Source organism: Homo sapiens, chromosome 2 (genome assembly GCF_000001405.40).
Source record: "Homo sapiens chromosome 2, GRCh38.p14 Primary Assembly".
Lineage (NCBI taxonomy): Eukaryota > Metazoa > Chordata > Mammalia > Primates > Hominidae > Homo > Homo sapiens.
Genome location: NC_000002.12, coordinates 48,705,887 through 48,727,421, shown reverse-complemented (window position 1 = coordinate 48,727,421; position 21,535 = coordinate 48,705,887). Strand labels below are relative to the sequence as shown.

The 21,535-nt window shown below is 42.0% G+C and overlaps 2 protein-coding genes across 6 annotated transcripts in view, besides 1 other annotated feature; one reads left to right on the top strand and one right to left on the bottom strand.

The window, feature by feature from the left end:
• STON1-GTF2A1L (STON1-GTF2A1L readthrough) overlaps positions 1 to 21,535 on the bottom strand; it is a 246,595-nt gene that overhangs the window by 49,098 nt on the left and 175,962 nt on the right. The gene's annotated exons all lie outside the window — the stretch shown is intronic.
• LHCGR (luteinizing hormone/choriogonadotropin receptor) overlaps positions 1 to 21,535 on the top strand; it is a 68,951-nt gene that overhangs the window by 28,303 nt on the left and 19,113 nt on the right. For 4 of the 5 annotated variants that reach the window (XM_047444293.1, XM_047444291.1, XM_047444292.1 and 1 more), the window contains 5 exons: positions 1,672 to 1,746; positions 3,726 to 3,800; positions 3,889 to 3,966; positions 13,368 to 13,436; positions 18,400 to 18,474. In XM_047444293.1, coding sequence (XP_047300249.1) covers positions 1,672 to 1,746; positions 3,726 to 3,800; positions 3,889 to 3,966; positions 13,368 to 13,436; positions 18,400 to 18,474 — 372 coding nt within the window. The other variant, XM_017004090.1, reaches the window with a different exon arrangement.
• Positions 19,690 to 19,779: an enhancer, noted in NCBI's record as "active region_15747". NCBI's record gives its function as "activates an Ori minimal core promoter by ATAC-STARR-seq in GM12878 lymphoblastoid cells {active_cell/tissue: GM12878}" and the evidence as "EXISTENCE:reporter gene assay evidence [ECO:0000049][PMID:35858748]".

Here is a 21,535-nt window from a genome sequence, read left to right as displayed (position 1 = left end):
CATGAAGGCTTTTTTTGCTTTGTTCACAGCTGTATTCCCAGCACATAGAACGATGCTTGCCACATGTAGGTGCCCAATAAATGTTTGTTAAATGAATGAATGACTGGGCTAAGGTCAGGCCCCAAAATTCTTTTATTAAATTTCTTTTAATCTTTTTTTTTTTATACAGGGTCTCACTGTGTTGCCCAGACCGACCTCAAATTCCTGGGCTCAAGTGATCCTCCCACCTCCTTGCCAAGTAGATGGGACTACAGATGCACGCCACCACACCCAGCCCAAAAGACCTTTAGAGATAAAAGTCCCTTCCATCCCACCCACATAAGGCTCTATATGGCCTATGATTGTTTGACTCAGTTGTTGTAGAAATAATTACAACAAAATATCACTCACATCTGAAGAATCAAAAGGGCTGAGAAGATGGAAACAGGCACAAGTGGTGGGTAACTGTAGTGTGGTGGAACAAGCACTAAACTGAGGGTCAGAAAAACTGGGTCACATCCAAGTTCTGCTACTTCTCAGCTGTGTGACCGAAGACAAATCATTCAACTTCCTAATTTCAGCAACTATTATAACTATTGTTAACACTGGTTGAGGCCTTACTGTGAACCAGACACATATATTTATTCCTCAAAAACAACACTATAAGGAAACCAAGACACAGAGAACTTAAAGTGATATATCTAAGGTCATACGATTAGTAAAATCAGAATGAAAAACCAAGTTGACTCCAGAGCCCATGCTCCTAACCAATATACTACATTCTCTCTATAGAACAAGGTAATTATTATTTCCTCAGGTGGCTGTCACCTGGATTAAGAAACCCAAAGGCATTTACTGGCCTTTTATTTAATACAAAGTAGACAGGACTTAGCAATGGTGACTACTTTTTGTAGAGTCACAGTAATTAGGGGAATGAGGGAGTTGGGCGGGGAGGGCAATAACATCACAGTGGTGTATGGCTGTACTTTTATACTTTGCCAAACCCTGCCTCATATTATCTCTACCTGTTCTATTACTTAAAACCTACTAACCTGTGAGGCAGGAAGACTATGTAATATTATTATACAAATTTTACAGAAGAGACACTAGCTCAGGGAAGTTAGGAGGCTGGACATCATGACACAGCAAATTATCTTCAGCATGAGTATAAAATCCCCCAAATTCAAGCCTCTGGCTTTTGCCCTGTGCCATTCCACAGACTGGTGCCCCTCGGTATAACTGCTCATGTGATTGCCGGCCAATATGAAGAGGACGAGTTTGCTTACAAGGGAGAGTAGGTAATTTGCTCATCTCTCCTGAGAGGAGTCTCTCATCACCCTCAGTGTACAGGGTCCACAGTGGGGCAGAATCTGCTTGGCCAGGAGCCCTGGATGTCGGTGCTGTCTGTGGTGGGGGAGAGGGGTGGGAGGGTGCAGAGACAGACTCCCTGCTCTGATCCTTATACCCACCTCTTTAGAAGCTTGAGAGCAGTGCTTCCTGGAAATAGGGAACTGGCTCTCACCAAGCCATTTCCATCCCCAGAGTCGCTAGGGGTCCTCCCAAGCATATGAAGGTCGCCTGCTTTTGCTGATGCCATTTTCAGCCAGCAACTTCTGGTGACCATGATCTCACACATTTCAAACAATACACATCTATTAAACAGCAGCTTTTTTTTTCCCTCTCTCTTTACAGACTGATCCAGAACACCAAAAATCTGAGATACATTGAGCCCGGAGCATTTATAAATCTTCCCCGATTAAAATACTTGTGAGAAATTTTCCTTTTTAAGCAATTGGGGAGGGGAAGATGGGCATCTGATGAAAATCAAAACAAGGAAAAGGTTGGAAAGATTTTGTTTAACCATATACATGGCACTATTTGCATGTTCCTCTTCAGCCTTCTGATTTAAATTTAATTGTCATTTCTTGTCAGCCACCGAGCTGGGTGCTTTTACATACATGTAAGTGGTTCCCAACATTTTATCAGTCCTAAACACCTGGGAAGAACGTCACCCCTCTGTAGTGATTTTCAAGGTTGACAATGGGTATGGGAGATGGAGGTCATAACACTTTAAAAAGGGTAAATCAGAATCTCTGAAGTGAATAGAGAGTAGGTGAAAGTGAGAGTGGCAATTCTGGTCTGACTCTCATCACGGGTTAAGAGTTTCTGATCTCCTTTATCTCATTTTTTTCATTTGTTCATTAAATGAAAACTTTTTAAGTATTGCCTTAAGGTAGACACTGTGCCATATAAACTAAATCATTATTTTCCACTTCCCATTAATTCTAACTAAGTCTGTCAGTTAGCATTAGAAATTGAGTACCACTGTAGCCTGCCACAATCATTGCCTTGTCAGCAATACCAAAATTCCTGAAAACTATGAATTTATCACTATGGATCTTTTCACATATCAAGTCATCCCTATTCACAAAGAAAAATTTGCGTCTCCCTAAAACAGACATCCCTCTTTTTTCTTTAAATTTCATAAACTCCTCAGAGAATGTAAAGCCCACCTCCCATCACTGCCCAAAAAAAGGAAAACAGAGAGAAGGGACATCTCTCTGGTACTTCACGTCATCAGTCTTGCTCTGGGGCCTTCTATAAGAGCTGCTACTGGAACTGGCATAGCTCCTTTGTTAACTCTAACACTGAACAATTCCAAACTCAGGTGTTCTGTTTTTCCAAACCTCCAGGGTGTCTATAGGGCACATAAGCATACGGTAGCATCAACTACTTTGAAAAAACATAAGAAACTCCCAGAACCAAATTTGACCACTGCAGCCTCTTATTATCTAAGAATCATTGTCTTTATTAAATAGTATTTTCATCCAAAACTGTGATATTCACCCAACCCAAGTACACGTTGCAGTCTAATCCCACACTGCTATCCCCAGCTGTAGACAGAGCAGAGATCCAGTGTGACCTGGGCTTTTGGATAAGAAGGAGAACCAGAGAGAGCCAGAAGAGAAACCTGGCTTTGTTTCATTGTCACGAGGGTGACAGACAGTTCATATTAGTTGTCCAGATCCCATGACTGGTGAATCTAAAACTCCAGTGGGGAAATCCAGATGCCTAGACTCTGAGGGAGCCCCATTCTTGTAATAAAATACTCTTCAATTTCACCTATCACTTAAGCCTCTCTCCTCTTCAGAGGCTAAATAAAAGGTGGGAAGAAAAGAAGAGCCTTGAATAGTCCCAAACACCAAAACAATGTTTAGTGATTTCAATGAGATGCAAAGAAGAACTTCCTGAATTGCAAGATAGCTAAATAAGGGAAGATTTTTAATAATGAGCAATATGGATTTATCATAAAAGATTAATTTTCTTGAAGTATTTGAATCAAAACCTGCTCCAAAATTTAAGGATGCTTTCTCGAACTATCAAGAGCTTGTAATAAACTAATTACCAAAAGAAAGTGGAATGCAATACGGGAAAATGTGATTGATTTAATAAGAAAAGACAGGCTACAAATATAAATGAAAAAGACCTTTAAATTTGGCCCCAGTCCCCAGGTCTCTAAATAGCAGTCATTAAAGCATCTTCTCCCACAGCATGAGGGACTTCTAAATTGCAACAATCTTTCTCAGCTAAAAGTAGTCCTGATAACACCAAACTCAATATTTTTAAATTTAATGTGAAAGTTGTATTTGCAAAATGCCTTTGTACTCTCTTTTTATCTTTATGTCTTAATGACAATCACTTTTACCCACTCTCTGCCCACACCACTATCCTGTCCCTAATCACAGGAGCATCTGTAACACAGGCATCAGAAAGTTTCCAGATGTTACGAAGGTCTTCTCCTCTGAATCAAATTTCATTCTGTAAGTACCAGGCTGATTGCTATGCATAACAGTTTCCTATTTGCAGCTAAAATTTAGAAAGTAAATATTTCTCATTTCTTTCCTCAAGGGAAATTTGTGATAACTTACACATAACCACCATACCAGGAAATGCTTTTCAAGGGATGAATAATGAATCTGTAACACTGTGAGTAAACTCCCAGATTTGTGTTCTGCCATACAGCCTCCTGCTAGTCTCACTACTAGGTTGGGGTGAGCTTTTTCTCATGTTTTACCACATTCCTCACTCACTGGTGACATTCTTCTTAACCTAAAATGCTAAGGGTGAAGGGAGTTGTGTAAGATCACAGCTGGGTCATATGTTCACATGACAACCAACCAACCAATTCAGTTTAACCAAACAGGCCCTGAGGATTTTTAGTGACTGAGTCTCAAACTTATGAAATTGTTCACTGCATTAATGGAGAATGCTCTAAGGCTGGGAAGACACAGTCTAGAGAGGAGTGGCTTTCCTGGCTTAAAAAGAGCATAGAAATTTCAAGATTTCAACAGAGAAGAGTTTGGAAGGATATTCTCCAAGTAGGAAAAGTAGTTGATCAATGGACCTTGCTCTGTCTCTCTCATTTTCGCCTTCCTCTTGGGTCCCTCTCACTTTGCTTCTGAAGCAACACTATCTATACTCATTCTCTCTATTCCTTAATGCTTAAAAATAATGTGTTTTTATTTGACAGTTACTCGTCAGGTTACCAGGCTATCCCTTTCATGGTGTTTCCTAAGGCCTCACTATTCAAACTATGAGCCATGATCTTCAGCATCTTCTGAGAGCTGGTGTATAAGTCCATTCTCACATTGCTATAAAGAACTACCTGAGACTGGGTAATTTATAAAGAAAAGAGGTTTTAATTGGCTCACAATTCTGCAGGCTTTGCAGGAAGCATGATTCTGGCATCTGCTCAGCTTCTGGGGAGGTCTCAGGAAACTTACAATACTGATGGAAGGTGAAGGGTGAGCCAGCACCTCACATGGCCAGGAGCAGTAGGAAGAGAGAGAGCAGGGAGATGTCACGCACTTTTAAACAATCAGATCTCATGAGAACTCTATCACAAGAACAGCACTAGGGGGATGGTGCTAAACCATCCATGAGAAACCACCCCCATGATCCAGTCACCTCCCACCAGGCCCCACCTCCAACACTGGGGATTATAATTTGTAATGCAATTTTGTGGAAACACAGATCTAAACCATATCCTCTAGTTAGAAATAGCTCACCGCAGACCTACTAACTCAGAATATGCTTTTTACAAGATCCCAAGTGATTCACATGTACATTAAAGTTTGAGGAGCACTCCACTAAGATAACTCAACCCATGTTCTTCACAGGACACTTGCCAGACTTCCTTCCCTCTGGAATCCCTGCCATACATCTTCACATGGGAGCCCTCCACTGCCGTACCATTCAGAAGCAGCATCCTGGGCAGCATATTTTATTTTATTGCAACTGAGTCTCGCTCTGTCACCAGGCTGGAGTGCAGTGGCGCAATCTTGGCTCACTGCAACCTCTGCCTCCTGGGTTCAAGTGATTCTCCTGCCTCAGCCTCCTGAGTAGCTGGGACTACAGGCGTGTGCCACCACACCCAGCTAATTTTTGTATTTTTAGTAGAGACAGGATTTCACCATGTTGGACAGGATTGTCTCCATCTCTTGACCTCATGACCTGCCCTCCTCGGCCTCCCAAAGTGCTGGGAAAACAGGCATGAGTCACCACCCCCCGGCCTCATTTCTTTATACCTAAAGCCCAGTGACCCTGATTTAATTCTGCTCCTAAAATCCATATCCCTCTCACTCTTTCTGCTTTGGTTACAGCCCATGGCAAAATTGTGATGAGGCAATAAAGGAGCTCACCCTTAAAGAAAAAAGAGAAAACATGGATTGGAATGACTCTGAAATGAAGAGATAGATGTGAAGCAAAAGAAGAGATCATCTCAGAGGACTCTCTTTTATATCACTGGATTCTAAAAATTGGTATCCTTGGTGCACTGCCTTTGTATAGTACTTTTACTTTGTGTAGATGTAATTTTACATGTATAATTGTCATGTTACAAAGCTGTGACCATGTAGCTTCATCTCAGATTAATGCAATCAAAAGAATACAGAGCAGCAACCAAAAATAATTTCAAAAATAACCCATACTCTTTACTTGCAACTCTCAAACACCAGGAAAGAGATTCTGTTGATCCTAGAAATATTTCTCAACAGTCTCTCCACTCCTGCCACTTCCCTCACACACCACAGCTCTACCGGCTGCTTATAAAGTGTTTTCAACTCACCATTGCATAATGGATCTGGAACTACTCATTCATCATGTCCCCCACCAAAAACAAGGTATTCAACAAACAAATTCCGAATGAGGTGATATCACATGCCTTAGGATTTGGGGTCTCCCCACATGTCTATATCAAGAACACAAAAGACACAGGATTAGATTCATGTCCTCGAGAAGTTCATAGTCTCAATGAGGGGGAAAACATAAAATAATAAAATAATAATACAAGCTAGTAGATATTCACTATGAGAGTGTGTGGTACCTAGAAATAAGATCTTAGAGAAGTCCTTTTGGGCTGGGGAAGTCAGAGAGGCTTTATGGTAGAGCTAACAGATTTGAATTAGACCTCATGGAATCAGTAACGTTTATATGGGTAAATGTGAAAATAGCAGCTAATATGTATGTAGCCCTTATTAAATACCTGCACTGTTTTTAAGTACTTTTTAAGTCCCATAGCAACCTTATGAGATAGGAACTATCAACCCTACTTTTAGATGAGGAGACCAAGGCATCAAGAGGTTAAGTATCTCTATCTCAGGTCAAGATTTGGTCCCAGACAGTATGGCTCCAGAGTCATGTTCTTAACCGTTATGCGGTACCACAACATACAGAGAAAGGCAGAGTAAGGAATCCAAGTGAAGAGATGGCAGGAGCAAAAGCATGGCAGGAGGAGAACAGGATGAGGCTACTACTTGGGAGTAAACATGCTGTTTAAGGAATGGAAAGTGAGTTTAGATAACTGGCTGAGATGGAGAGGACACTGAATTGCAGAGACCCTTAAGTGCCAGGACAAGGAGACAGGCTTGGAGGTAACTCTGGAAAAAGTAATAAAATAATCTATTCAATAGAGTAGGCTTTATTCAAAGATCACAAATATCCATGACTCCCTTCAACTTTGATCTAAATCTAAAAATAATCAGAGACCAATAGGTATTCCTCCGAGGTAAATGTACAATGATGGGAGTGGAGTGAAGTAGGAACGAAAAGGCAGAAGACATGGAGGAGGGTGAAGAAGAAAACCAATGTTGGGATAATCCATAGGTAACTATGAGCTCACAAGACTGGGCCACCCCACGAGACTCAAAGAGTAACCAAAGATTCCTTCTCACACATCATACTTCAGTATGTGCACAGAGAGCTTCATGGTTTTCTAATGACAGGGACATTAACTTATGTTGCTCATGATTTTAAGAAAAAGAGTGCATGCCAGTAGGGTGTAATTTCCCCACTCTGAAGTTAATAAAGATTGAGGCTCCGTCTCTCCCAGAGAGCCTGTGGGACATTGTAGTTCCATCCCCCTTCTCATTCTTGGCCCTTCATCTGGAAGGGGAGTGATTAGTCATTTATTTGCCTGGCACTTGTTCTCTGCTGAATGGGCCCCTCTGTAAGCAAAGGATCGTGTGGAGCAGCCTGCTGGAAAAAGGGCATTACGCTTAAAGAGGAAAGCCTTATTTTCTCAGCTATAAAGTTCAACTCTCTAATTAGAAAATAATGAAAGCAAGCCTTCTCTTTTCATTATTAGTGGTATTTGAGATTTTGCTTTTTGTAGAACCTGTCTTGCCCTCCCCCTACCCAAATCTTTACCAACTGTGAGCTCATTTAATGAAAACAAAACACTTCACTTGATGCTGGAGAAACTCAGTGGGGCTAATGCTAAAACTATGCATTATGCTTTTATGTCCCTTTATAGCCACTTTGGTTGTTCATTAAATCTCCTCAAGAGGCCACCTTGAAATGCCCCTCCTTCCCAAATAAGCAGAATTTAGCTGTGCCACCTTCAAAATATTCTAGGTGATTGGTCACACCAGTCTCAAAAAAAGAGACAATCTTGATTCACATCTTAACTCCACAAAGAAATGGAAAGGTCATAGCAATTAATTTTCTAAGACCCTACAGAGAAGTGATGTCTGGAAAGGCATGATGATTCCAGGCTGCACCCATGACAAGCCACAGTAGAGAGACTGCTGGGTCTCTCTACTGTGTTGAAATAGGGAGTCTGGGCTTCAGTCCTGGCTCTGTGTCTAACCAGCCAAGCAGCCTTAGTCAGGTCATCCCACTTTGACATAGCTCACTGGGTTCAAGCGATTCTCCTGCCTCAGCCTCCCAAGTAGCTGGGACCACAGGCGCCCACCACCATGCCCGGCTAATTTTTTGTATTTTTAATAGAGATGGAGTTTCACTGTGTTAGCCAGGATGGTCTTGATCTCCTGACCTCGTGATCCGCCCGCCTCAGCCTCCCAAAGTGCTGGGATTACAGGCGTGAGCCACCATGCCCGGCCTAGAATCCTTTATTGTTATCATTCTTTCTGATGCCTGTCACCCTTTTTATTATTACATATAGTAAAGACATATAAGTTGACATGAACATGGCTGAGGTAGAAGGAAACATGAAAACTCAGTGCTGCTGAGAGGCAGGAGGCACAGCAATACAGGGAGAGGGATCCATTGCTATAGAGACTATGAACCCCCAGAAATGGGGGGACCCTGATTCATAACTAGAGTTACAGCAGCACATAGTAGTAACCAGGTCACAGTTACCCATCTAACCACTGCCGGCACATCCACTAGAGAAGTGTCTTCATACGTAAGGAATTATTCAGCTATAAAAGGACTTCAGCAAAGTTCCACATAGGGAAGAAAGTGGTGAATTTAGGACTTCCTTTTCTTTTCTTTAGAATTCTGTTTGTATAGTCATTTGAAAAAAAAAATTGCTTACAAATATACCACCATATTTTCTAAAAGATATCTTCTAAAACGGTATGCTTTGCCTTTTAGCAATGGGTCCACTTTTTTGAGACCCTGAGTATCTGTAAACATAAATTAAGCTTTCTTCTTCAAAATCATCCAGAAACCAGGTGATCCAAAAGGAAACTATAGAAGAATGTCTAATACTGTTAATATTAGAATCCCAGAAGTGCTTTTAGAGCCCCAGGAATATTTGGGGTTCATTATAAAGCAGCATTCAGAATTAGAGTATCATCTGTGATTAATATCTAAAGCCCAAATCTTATTTTGAACAAAAAGGTGCCATTCTGTGTGATTCACAATTACTGACATTTGAGTAGAGAACCTAGACAATGCTTTAAAGTTAGGTACAGCTATTGTAATAGAGAAGTTGGGGGAGGCGAAAAATCTTCATTTTTGTGCCTGTGACAAAATCCTCAAAGTAAAGCAAAGGAAGCCTTCCTCATTTAATTCTGACACCATGATGTTTTGGAAAAAAGTTATCTGAAGTGACTCTCCAGATGTTTTTTTAAGGGCATTAAAAGCATTGTGCAAGACTGACAGCATGAGGTCTCCCACTCACATTTGTAATTTCTCCAAAGTAAGGAAGCTTCTCTTTTAATCACAACAAGGCAGCACATTCTATTGTGTGTGACCGGTAAGAAAAGAGACAAGAGCAACTGAAACAGTGGGCCACGTTGTTTAGAAAGTTGAGACAAGCAGGACTGAGGCTATTCAGAAAAAAAAAAAAAAAAAAAAAAAGACATGGAAAATGTCTAAAGGCAAAAAAGTCCATGACGCTAGTACAGACCAAAGGTGTTTGAGAGCCTTCAGCACGTGAGTACATTTAGTGCAGCCCAGGCCACTGACCTGACTTGCTCTGCCCAGGAAGAGAAAGACCCCCTACTTCATTGGAGAAGGATGATAGTGCAATTAAACAAAATGCTTGTATTTCACAGAAATCCTGTCCAGAGCATGGAAAGGGAGATCGTTTACCTCTGTTCTTGTCAGAAGGCTAGAGGCTACTGAAAAATATAATAATAATAATAATAAGATCAACACATTAAGCATTTATTGTATTCCAGAACCTACTTATAAATGTTTAACATATATTTACATTTTCAGTCCTTACAATAGCTTTATGAGGTTGATACTATTATCATACTTTCAGATTAGGAAACTAATGTAGAGAGATGGTAAGTAACTTGCCCAAAGTAATTCAGATTGTAAGCAGCAGAGCTGGGATTCAAGCAATTGGGTTCAGTGCCTGCAGACTTAACCACAAGGGTACACCTGTGACACTGTGAGTCTAACAGAAAAGCATAAAATCCTAACATGTATCAAACAAGGATCAGGGCAGCATGCAGCTGTGATGAATAATGGGCATCTAGACAACTGTTAGCAGCTTTGGTGAAAACAAAGCAAGGGCTATCTTTTCTTCATCTACTCCATGTGTAGTGCGATCATCACTTAGAAGGTAGAGAAAGCAATCCAGGGACTAGACTCTGGACACAATTCCAAGCCAATGACCATCTGATTTGCCCCATGGGAATGATGAGAACAGTATCATCCTATGACATACCCTAGGGCAAAGGTTCTCAAACTGGCATACTGAAGGCTCACTAGGAGAGCTTGTTATAAAAGTGCATATTTTTGGATACCACTATTAGTTTCTGATTTAATAGGTCTGAGTCTGCATTTTTGACAAGCAACTCCAGGTGATTCTAATTCAGTGGATGGAGGAGAAAGTTTTGACAAATACCGGGCAAGAGTCTAAGAAATCAAACTTAAGGAAGTTCAGAAAAAGAGTGTGATTCCTTTATCTAAAAGAGACTGCTATAAAGGAATTCAACCCCTAAAATGACAGGAGACTGCCAAAGACTAACATCCTAGGTGCAAAATTTTAAAAAATTCTGGTGAAATTGAGCTTCTAAGGAAACAACAAGGTTGTGTATAATTATGCAAGACAACAGGCATCAACCCTGTACCTATGTTCTCAGATTCCACAATATAGAAGGGGAAGAAAACTACTGAGAGTGGCATCCAGTAATCCAACATGGTAGAGCTAGTATGTGAAACTGATGATTGGCTTTGCCTCCATTGCTTTATCATCATCTGACCCATGATTATATTTTATGTTTTTATTGTTTGCCTCCTCCAGAGAAACATATCCTCCTGTATCTAGAACAGTGCCTGGCACCTGGGAGTATTACAGTAAATATACATTAAATGAATGGGATGACCAAATGAGAATATGTAAGATGAATTTCTTACCATAAATCATAACCAAACAATTTTGAAGGCTACTGACTTAGATGGAAATATAAGTTATTTGAGAAAGGCCTGTGGTGTGATGTAAAGTTAAGCTCCTTGTATCTGCCAAGACCCTAGCTTCTCTTTGCAGGGTTGCTGGAAGCTGGCCAGGGACAAGCTGTGGGGTGTAACTTGAGAAATGGTTCAGAAACATGCTTCAGATTCTGCAATATAGAAAGGGATGAAAACTATTGAAAGTGGCATCCAGTAATCCAATATGGGAGAGCTAGTATGTGAAGCTGTAAACTCTGAAGAATCTCAGAAGAAAGCATATGAGAGCCTGGGAAACCATGGAAGCCTCCCCTTCCCGGGGAAGGGCAAAGCTGCTGCTTTACTCAGGCTATTGACTGAGCTAGGCACCAGGCATTCTGTGAGGCCCCAGGAGTTTAAGAAATGAATTAAATATTCTCCCCTGCCCTCTTTGAACTGACTCTAACGAGGAGACTTAAGAATTATTTTGTAATCTCTAGTTATATTTTCTGAATTTCAGAGCTTAAATATTATACTTCAACATGAGTCACACCTTTATTTATATGTTGGTTTGTCTCAGCTGTGTTGTGGGTTGGTGGAAGGAGACCACACATACATACACACAGAGTACATACATGCTGTTGATGTTACACACATACTCACACCCCACAAAGTGAAGCTCCATGCTCATTTTGTTTAACAAAGACTAGAGAGGCCTTGCAGACAACAGCTACCTGGAGCAGGAACAAGTGAAGCATGTTTCTGAACCATTTCTCAAGTCACACCCCACAGCCTGTCCCTGGCCAGCTTCCAGCAATCCTGCAAAGGGAAGTTAGGGTGTTGGCAGATATAAGGAGTTTAACTTTACATCACACCACAGCCCTTTCTCACGTGGGTTTTACATCATCATTCACAAAGAATTTATACAAATATTTCCATCTAAGGCAGTAGCTTTCAAACTTGTTTGGCTATGATTTATGGTAAGAAATTCCCATTTGGTCATCCAATTTATTTAATATATATTTACTGTAATACTCCCAGGTGCCACGCACTGTTCTAGATACAGGAGGATATGTTCTCACGGAGGAGGTAAACAATAAAAACATAAAATGTAATCATGGGTCAGATGATGATAAAGCAACGGAGGCAAAGCAAATCAGGGAAGGAGTATAGGGAAAGTAGGGGGAAACAGGAAATTGGTGTTTTAAATAGGGCAGCCAGTAAAGGCCCCACTGAGAACACGACACGAAATACAATCCTGCAGGAAGAGGATGGGTAGCCCATGAGGATATCAGTGGAGGAAAAGTAAAAAGAATCAGCAAAATTGATGTGCTGGATGTAGCCCCAGACAAAGCATATCCTAGTCCCATTTATGCCAGTTGTAGGCTTTAGACAAGTCACTTTCCCTCACTGAGCCTATTTCCTTCTTTGCAAAATGACAATGTGCTGCTTGATTCCCTCTAGACTCCTTTGTGGCTCAAACATTTCCCCATATCTGTGTTCTAAGGATCCTCTTATGTCTTATTCTGGGTAGAAGTATACATGTATGTGTGTGTGTTTGTGTGTGTGTGTATTTATAGGTATATACCATAAAAAATGGTGGGATAAAGTTTCATAAACATTAATACCCTAATCACTTGCAAAATGCTCTAATACTTTTTATTTTTTCTATGTAGATTTTTTAAATGCTGGTTATGCCCAAGTAAATTGATTCACTATGCACTAATGGTCTTAAAGGACTGTTTACAGACATTGAAATCTTCTTGGTTGTGGAGCCAAATCTGACATCAGCAAAACCACATACTCATCCAAGAAAAAAAAAAAAAAAAGTGGGCTCAGTGCTGGAGGCTTCCTCTGCCCTCAGCTTTCAACACCCAGAAAACCCATATGCCCACACCGGCCTGCAAAACCAGAGGAAAGGCTTAAGTGTTAAACATCTCTGGCCTTGGATCCCAGCTATGCCACTGTTTTCCTTTGACATTAAGCAAGCTACATAACCACACTGAGGGTTAGGCTTCTTGTCGGTATAATGGAAATGATGATGAGGATTAAATCATAAAATAAACATAGAGTGGCTGATGAAGTATCTAGCACTTAATAGACACTTAATAAATTGATGGTGGTGGTGATGATGGAGAACTAGATATTATGAATGCCTGTAATAACCTTAGTAATATATGTTACAGGAGGAAAAATGTGTTTCCAAACTGTTTCTTTCAGTTTCTTCCCATTCCTAAACCCTCTCCTCCCTCCTTCAGCAAACTATATGGAAATGGATTTGAAGAAGTACAAAGTCATGCATTCAATGGGACGACACTGACTTCACTGTAAGTATTTGCTTATTTCCCCAGCTCAGGAATAAAAATGAAATATTACTCTGGCTACAAGATCACATTCAATCTTCAGCAACTAACTCAGGGCAAAAATAAACTTTCAAGTGGCTAGCCCTCAGTGTTTCATGCATGTTACTAGGCAACTGGCTGGCTAGAAACCCCAGAGCACCCTGATTTCAAAGACAGATGCAGCCTGGATACATTGAAGTTGACAGTTTACTGCAATATTCAACACCCTACTTTATGCCTCCTGCAACTCAATGCCTCCCTCTCTAGCCCCCTCACTCAGGTTGATGGTGTGTTAGAGGAAGCAGAATTTCAGAAAGAAATTCTTCTCCTGGCCCCACTGCAGAGAAATCAGATAACACCACCATTTACCAGTCTTGTCAGCCACAACAGACCCACTCAGAGAGTCCCATCTCTGTACTGCTAGTGTGGGAGGAAGCTCATTTTCCACAAGGTAGGGAGCTTTGTGTTTTCACCACACCCTACCCAGTTCTTGATGTTAACAGCCTTTAACTCAAGAAGAGCATCGCTACTGTTTCCCTCACTGTTCTCAACCTCTCTTTCCTTCTATGGCTCCTCTTCTAAAAGAGTGGCATATTCACAAAGTTTGTGGGGCTGGGGACATTTGAACCATAGCAAGTACAGGGTGAGGTCACAGTCACCCTGCAATTTGTGCATAATAAAAACTAAGAGCACATGAAAAGTTCGATTAAAGCCAAAATTATGGAAAATAAACAAAAAAGGCTTTTAAAATCAATAAGTTGTATAAACCATGATCTATACTAATGCTTCTCAAATTTTTACACACCTACGAAGAATCTGCAGATTGTTAAAACACAGATTCCTGGGCCCTACCCCCAGAAACTTGGATTCAGTGGATCTAGGTAGGGCCTGAGAATTTGCAATTTTAACAAGCTTCAGGAGATGCTGATGCTGTCAGTCTGAAGTTGGGTAGCACAGTCTAATGTTGGGTAGCAAAATTCTGTACAATATGCTATTTATTTTTAATTATAGATATGTAACCAAAGCCTCTATTATATTGATATGTGCTATATCGTTTGGTGGCTAAAAGAATAGACTTCAGAGTGAGTGGGACTCAAACTCCAGTCCCACTATTTAACAGCTGGTATGACCTTAAGCAAGTTACTTAACCGATCTAAGCCACAGTGTCTTCATTCATAAAATGGATCCAATAATAGGCTTGTTTTGAAAATGTCATATCCTCAGTACTTAACGCTGTGCCTGGCATAGAGTAGGTGCTTATTTATTATATAATATATAATATAATTAATTATAAGTAAACAATTCAACAAGATTATACTTTTGTGTGCTTAGCACAGCATAGTTGCACATACTAAGTGTTCAAGAAATTGTAGAATTTTTTAAGTTGTTCTCCTATCATGGGGTGAATTTGCTCTCATGTTCTTTTTGACTTGATGACTTAATGAAAGGTTCATTAACAAAAACCCTTAAGTTAATGAAGTGTTCACTCTGGCCAATTAAATCGATTTCTGACAAACTTAAATCAGAGGCATTTATATCATCTCCTGGCACAGTTCTCTCAGATGCCTCATTCCATTATTCACTCTACAAATGTTTACCAAGCATCAGCTGTGTTTGAAGAAACATGCTGTATTTTGAGGGGGAATGAAGATGATTAAGTCCTAGTGTCGCCCTACAGGAGCTTACAGCATAGGAAGAAGCATCTCCAAATAGTGTATAAACTGCACATTGACTACTAACTAAAACAGAAGGCAAAGCATGAAGCCTCCCCAGAGAGAGGTAAAGTCCTCTGGGATTTCAAAGGCAGCAGGAAAAGAAAGTATAGAAAGCCTCTGAGAAAGGTGGGCTTTGAGCTGGGCATAACTTAGGCAAAAAGAGAGGAAAAATGCCTTCCAAGCAGAGGACAGCCAGAAGAATGGTCCAGAGGAGGAATTATAAGATGTGTTCATAGACCAGCAGATAGTACTTTCTAGATACGAGTTAGGGACAAAACAGGAAGGGCCTTAGATGCCATAGTAAAGAGTTTAGACTCTCTTCTCCAGAAAATGAGAAGCCATTGAAAGTTCTGAGATGGAAGTATGAGATGAGTGCTTAAAGAAGGTTCATCTGTTAGCAGGAAGGACGGAAGGCTGGAAGGGGTAGGGCAGGGCTAGAGACACAAATGCCAGGATCATCTGAATAGAGGGGATAGCTGAAGTCCTGTGTGGCTGAGGTCACCTGAACAGGGGGAAAAATAAAAGAACTGAATATTAAATTAAAGGGAAACAAGATGAGCAAGAGAAGCAAGAGCAAAATAAAACAGACGGGAGAAAAACCAACACAGTATGTCTGTGTGAGGTCAGGAAAAACAGAAATTTAGGAGGGAAGATTTCAGATGGTCAGCAGCATATCAGCTGTTACAGAGATGCCAAAATGGACGTGAACTATGAAAAGTTCAATTAGTCAACGTCCTGTATACCCTGTATCTCACTGTTGCAAGAAAGAGGAAATCAAGAACATGAGTCAGTTTGCCAAGAACAAACTTAATTTCATTCAACAAACATTTATTAAGCACCACTGATATACTAAGCACCGTGTTAGGTACTGAGTCTGCAATGGTAGAGAGGTCACAGTCCCTGCCCTTATGTAGTTTCTGTTCTATCAGAAAAGACAGACAAAAAAAAGCAAATAACAGATAAAATTATTACAAGGGTAATATATACTATGAAGGAAATAACCTGTTACTGAGATCTGAGAGAGTATGAGGGGTGAACGATTTAGGCAAGGTATCCAGGATGGCCTCACTGAGGACGTGATATTTAGGCTGAGCCTGAAGGATGACAAGGATTCCACTGTGTCAACAGTGAGGGAAGCACGTTACAGAAAGAGGGAGCAGATATGCAAAGGTCCTGAGCTGGAAAAGGAACTAAGTTGGTAAGTCCCAGGAATTGAGGGGAGGCCAGTGTGGCTGGAGGGTCTTTAGCAAGGGGGAGACTGGAGATGAAGGAGATGGAGCAGGACTGAGCAGCCATGGGAAAGGAGTCTGAATTCTCTTCTAAGGGCAAGGTCACCCATTAAAGAGTTTAAGTAGCAGGGGAGGAGCAGTTTTCAAAACTGTCAAGCAAAATTTTCAAACGATACATTCAACCCTTCCTCATAAATAGACCTGTCCAAAGTTGTTCAGAACACAACGATACTGAAGTCCTGCAAAGTTCGCAAACACCTGACTTACTAAGGCAGCACAGGAAAGACAGGGGCAGCCGCAGAAGGTGGCCCTGAGGCACCTGAGGGGTCTAGGAGTCAGTCCATACTGTTCCCAGAGCACCCAAGCTGGGAAAACTTTGGCGGAGCTTGTGGGTTCTTCCCCTGTGCTTCAAAAGGTCATCCTGCCTGTGCTTCTCACACCGCAAGGTCACATCATTGGGAGAATTCTCAAAAGTGACCCCCAGGAAAATGTGGGAAATTGATTTATTTTTTGACCAAGTTGCATAATACAGAGTTATCAGTATACAGAAAGATCTGAGTTTTAATAAAACGTGTGAAATGCTCTGTCACGAAATTTGAACAATTAATCTGACTGGGCTGACACAAGAATAATTTGCTCACAGAGCCCAGTTTCAATGATTTATAACTATAACTGAACATAATTAAAACAAACGGAATCAGGAAGAAGAGCCATGGAGGTTTAGGAAGAAAAATTTCTTTTGATTTATATTTTAAACAGCAGTTGATTCTGACAATCTCATCTCTTTGAAAGTAGAAATATACCCAGGGGATGGGACGATGTGAGATTGACAGGTGGATTCTGATGAAAGGGCTGAGGGTTTCCAAAGAAAATGCTTAGTAGAAATGTGGAAAACAGCCACCCAGAGTGAGATGCAGGGGTTTTTGCAGTTCTTAAACAGCAATGAAGGCGGGGAATGGGTGTTAGTATGTTTGTTTTGCTGTGTACACTGTAATGTGGTAAGAGAATCATGTTCCCACGCTTGAAATCATCACATCAACGGTAGATGCACACTGTTCCCACCATCCACGGTTTTCCAGATGCTCTGAATCACAACCATTCTCTTATAGAGAGGAAGTGCTCAAAAGAAGGCTGGCAGACTTGAGCCCAGGGATTCCTCTTCTAGCTCCCTCGACTACTCAAAGAAGGGCCTGTGCTTAGAGATACCAGTGTCAGGGCCCAGAAAGGAGGCTGCCTAGGAGGACCAGATTGTGCTGCTCCTAAGGAGTTTAGCCTGAATGACTTTGAGCTCAAGGCAGCAGAGCCCTCAGGGAGCTACTTCCATAACAGCTTTTGGCTTCTTCCACAGCCTTGAGAGTAGAGGCCCTCAACACTTTTTCCATGACACACACATACACCTGGCGATGATCATTTACACTGCACAGCCCCATGGGGCAATTTTCTACAGAGGCTGTAAGTCCTCCTCTTTCTCACCCACAGAGAAATGCATATCTGAAAGAAAAAGAATGCAAATTACACTACAAAAGGGATAACTTTGAATGGACCCTACTTTTTCAAGTATTTGCAAACTTCAATAAATTACTATTAGCACACTCTGAGACCTCCACGGTCACAATGACTGAGAGGCTAACAAAGAGTAGGCTGCACTTCAGCCGTTCAGTCTTGGCCTCTTGGAGCAGCAATCTCATCCTTATCCAGCTGTCTGGTGGTAAACTTTCATAACTCCAGGACAGGAGGGGGTGAGTACTTTAAGCTGTAGGACAGAGTTCTACCAAGTGAAGGGGGGAATGGAAGAAAAAAGGTGTGGCCAACACACATGCCAGTAATTTCATAATTTCATTAAGAACTAGCTTGTCTTTTTCCCACTTTCCCTCCACTTACCCTTTTTCCCCCTTTTAACCCTATACATCATGCACATAGCTTGGTCTAAACATGTGTATATGGAGCTACGAATGCTTACACATGAGGTACAAACTCCACTAAGGGCAATATCCTTCCCCACAGGGAGCTAAAGGAAAACGTACATCTGGAGAAGATGCACAATGGAGCCTTCCGTGGGGCCACAGGGCCGAAAACCTTGTGAGTAGAATGGTGCTGCCTCCCCTCCCTGCCCAGTGTACCCCAACAGGACTGCTTAGGGTGTCCCTCCACATCATCCCCAAGCTGATATGTGAGACATCAGCCTCTACACCTGAAAAGGCTGCTGTTGGAAAGACAAAGTGTATCACAGCTGCCATAATAAAGTACCCCAAACCGAGAGGCTTAGACAACAGAAATTTTGTCTTATGGTTCTGGAAGCTAGATGTCCAAAATCAAGGTGTCAGCAGGGGTTGGCTCCCTCTGAGGGCTGTGAAGAAAGCATCTATTCCAGGCCTCTCCTAGCTTGTGCTAGTTCTTTCTGGTTGTGGCAGCATAATTCCAGTCTTCACATGGTACATTGTGTATGTGTGTGCATGTGTGTGTGTGTGTGTGTGTGTGGGTGGGTATCTCCAAATTGCCCCTTTTAATAAGAATAGCAGTCATATTGGATTAGAGCCCACCCTAATAAACTCATTTTAACTTCATTACCTCTGTAAAGACCCTATCTCTAAATAAGGTCTGAGGTACTGGGAACGTCAAGATATGAATTTTAGCTGGAGGATACAATTCAACCCCTAACACCAAATATGAGGGGTGGCCTCATGTGCTGGCAAAGAGGCTGGCTACCCACCTGGAATCCACTCATGGGAATCTAAGGCCAAAGATCTGGCATGCCCCTGGCACTTGGTTGGACGGGGCTGAGCTGCTGTCAGACTCTCTGAGGGTGCAAGGATTAGGGCCAGGCTCTCTCAGTTAAAGGGGTTTTAAAGGATACATGGGAAATTGTTTCCAAGACGGCCGAATAGGAACAGATCCAGTCTGCAGCTCTCAGCGAGATCGATGCAGAAGACGGGTGATTTCTGCATTTCCAACTGAGGTACCTGGTTCATCTCATTGGGACTGGCTGGACAGTGGGTACAGCCCACAGAGGGCCAGCTGAAGCAGGGCAGGGCGTCACCTCACCCAGGGAGCACAAGGGGTCCAGGGATTTCCCTTTCCTAGGCAAGGGAAGCTGTGAGAGACTGTACCTGGAGGAACGATACACTCCTGACCAAATACTGTGCTTTTCCCATGGTCTTCACAACCAGCAGACCAGGAGATTCCCTCCCGTGCCTGGCTCGCTGGGTCCCATGCTCACAGAGCCCAGCAAGCTAAGATCCATTGGCTTGAAGTTCTTGCTGCTAGTAGAGCAGTCTAAGATAGACCTGAGATGCTGGAAGGGACATCCGCCATTGCTGAGGCTTGAGTAGGTGGTTTTATGCACACTGTGTAAACAAAGCTGCCAGGAAGTTCGAACTGGGCGGAGCCCAATACAGCTCAGCAAGGCTGACTGCCTCTCTAAATTCCACCTCTGTGGGCAGGACATATCTGAACAAAGGCAGCAGCCACAGTCAGGGAATTACAGAGAAAACCCTCATCTCTCTGGGACAGAGCACCTAGGGGAAGGGGCAGCTGTGGGCACAACTTCTGCAGACTTAAACGTCCCTGCCTGACAGCTCTGAAGAGAGCAGTGGTTCTCCCAGCACAGTGTTCAAGCTCTGATAACAGACAGACTGCCTCCTCAAGGGGTCCCTGACCCCCATGTAGCTTGACTGGGAGACGCATCCCAGTAGGGGCTGACAACCACCTCACACAGGAGAGCTCTGGCCAGCATCTGGCAGGTGCCCCTCTGGAACAAAGCTTCAAGAGGAAGGATCAGTCAGCAATACTTGCTGTCCTGCAGCCTCTGCTGGTGATATCCAGGCAAACAGAGTCCGGAGTGGATCTCCAGCAAACTCCAACAGACCTGCAGCTGACGGGCCTGACTGTTAGAAGGAAAACTCACAAACAGAAAGGAATAGCATCAACATCAACAAAAAGGGCATCCATACCAAAACCCCATCTGTAGCTCACCAACACCAATGACCAAAGGTAGATAAAACCACAAAGATGGGGAGAAACCAGAGCAGAAAGGCTGAAAATTCCAAAAACCAGAACATCGCTTCTCCTCCAAAGGATCACCACTCCTCACCAGCAAGGGAACAAAACTGGTCGGAGAATGAGTTTGATGAGCTGACAGAAGTAGGCTTCAGAAGGTGGGTAATAACAAACTTCTCCAAGCCAAAGGAGCATGTTCTAACCCATCACAAGGAAGCTAAAAAACCATGAAAAAAGGTTAGGCGAATGGCTAACTAGAAAAATCAGTGTAGAAAAGAACATAAATGACGTGACGGAGCTGAAAAACACAGCATGAGAACTTCGTGAAGCATACACAAGCTTCAATAGCCAATTAGATCAAGTGGAAGAAATGATATCAGTCATTGAAGATCAAATTAATGAAATAAAGCAAGAAGACAAGATTAGAGAAAAAAAAGTGAAAACAAACGAACAAGGTCTCAAGAAATATGGGACTATGTTAAAAGACCATATCTACGTTTGATTGGTGTACCTGAAAGTGATGGGGAGAATGGAACCAAGTTAGAAAACACTCCTGAATATTATCCAGAACTTCCCCAACCTAGCAAGGCAGGCCAACATTCAAATTCAGGAAATACAGAGAACACCACAAAGATACTCCTCCAGAGGAGCCATCCCAAGACACATAACTGTCAGATTCACCAAGGTTGAAATGAAGGAAAAAATGTTAAGGGCAGCCAGAGAGAAGGGTTGGGTTACCCACAGAGGGAAGCCCACCAGACTAACAGCTGATCTGTCAGCAGAAACCCTACAAGCCAGAAGAGAGTGGGGGCCAATATTCAACATTCTTAAAGAAAAGAATTTTCAACACAGAATTTCATATCCAGCCAAATTAAGCTTCTTAAGTGAAGGAGAAATAAAATCCTTTACAGACAAGCAAATGCTGAGAGATTTTGTCACCACCAGGCCTGCCATACAAGACCTCCTAAAGGAAGCACTAAACATGGAAAGGAACAACCAGTGCCAGCCACTGCAAAAACATACCAAATTGTAAAGGCCATCAATGCTATGAAGAAACTGCATCAACTAACAGGCAAAATAACCAGCTAGCATCATAATGACAGAATCAAATTCACACATAACAATATTAATCTTAAATGTAAAC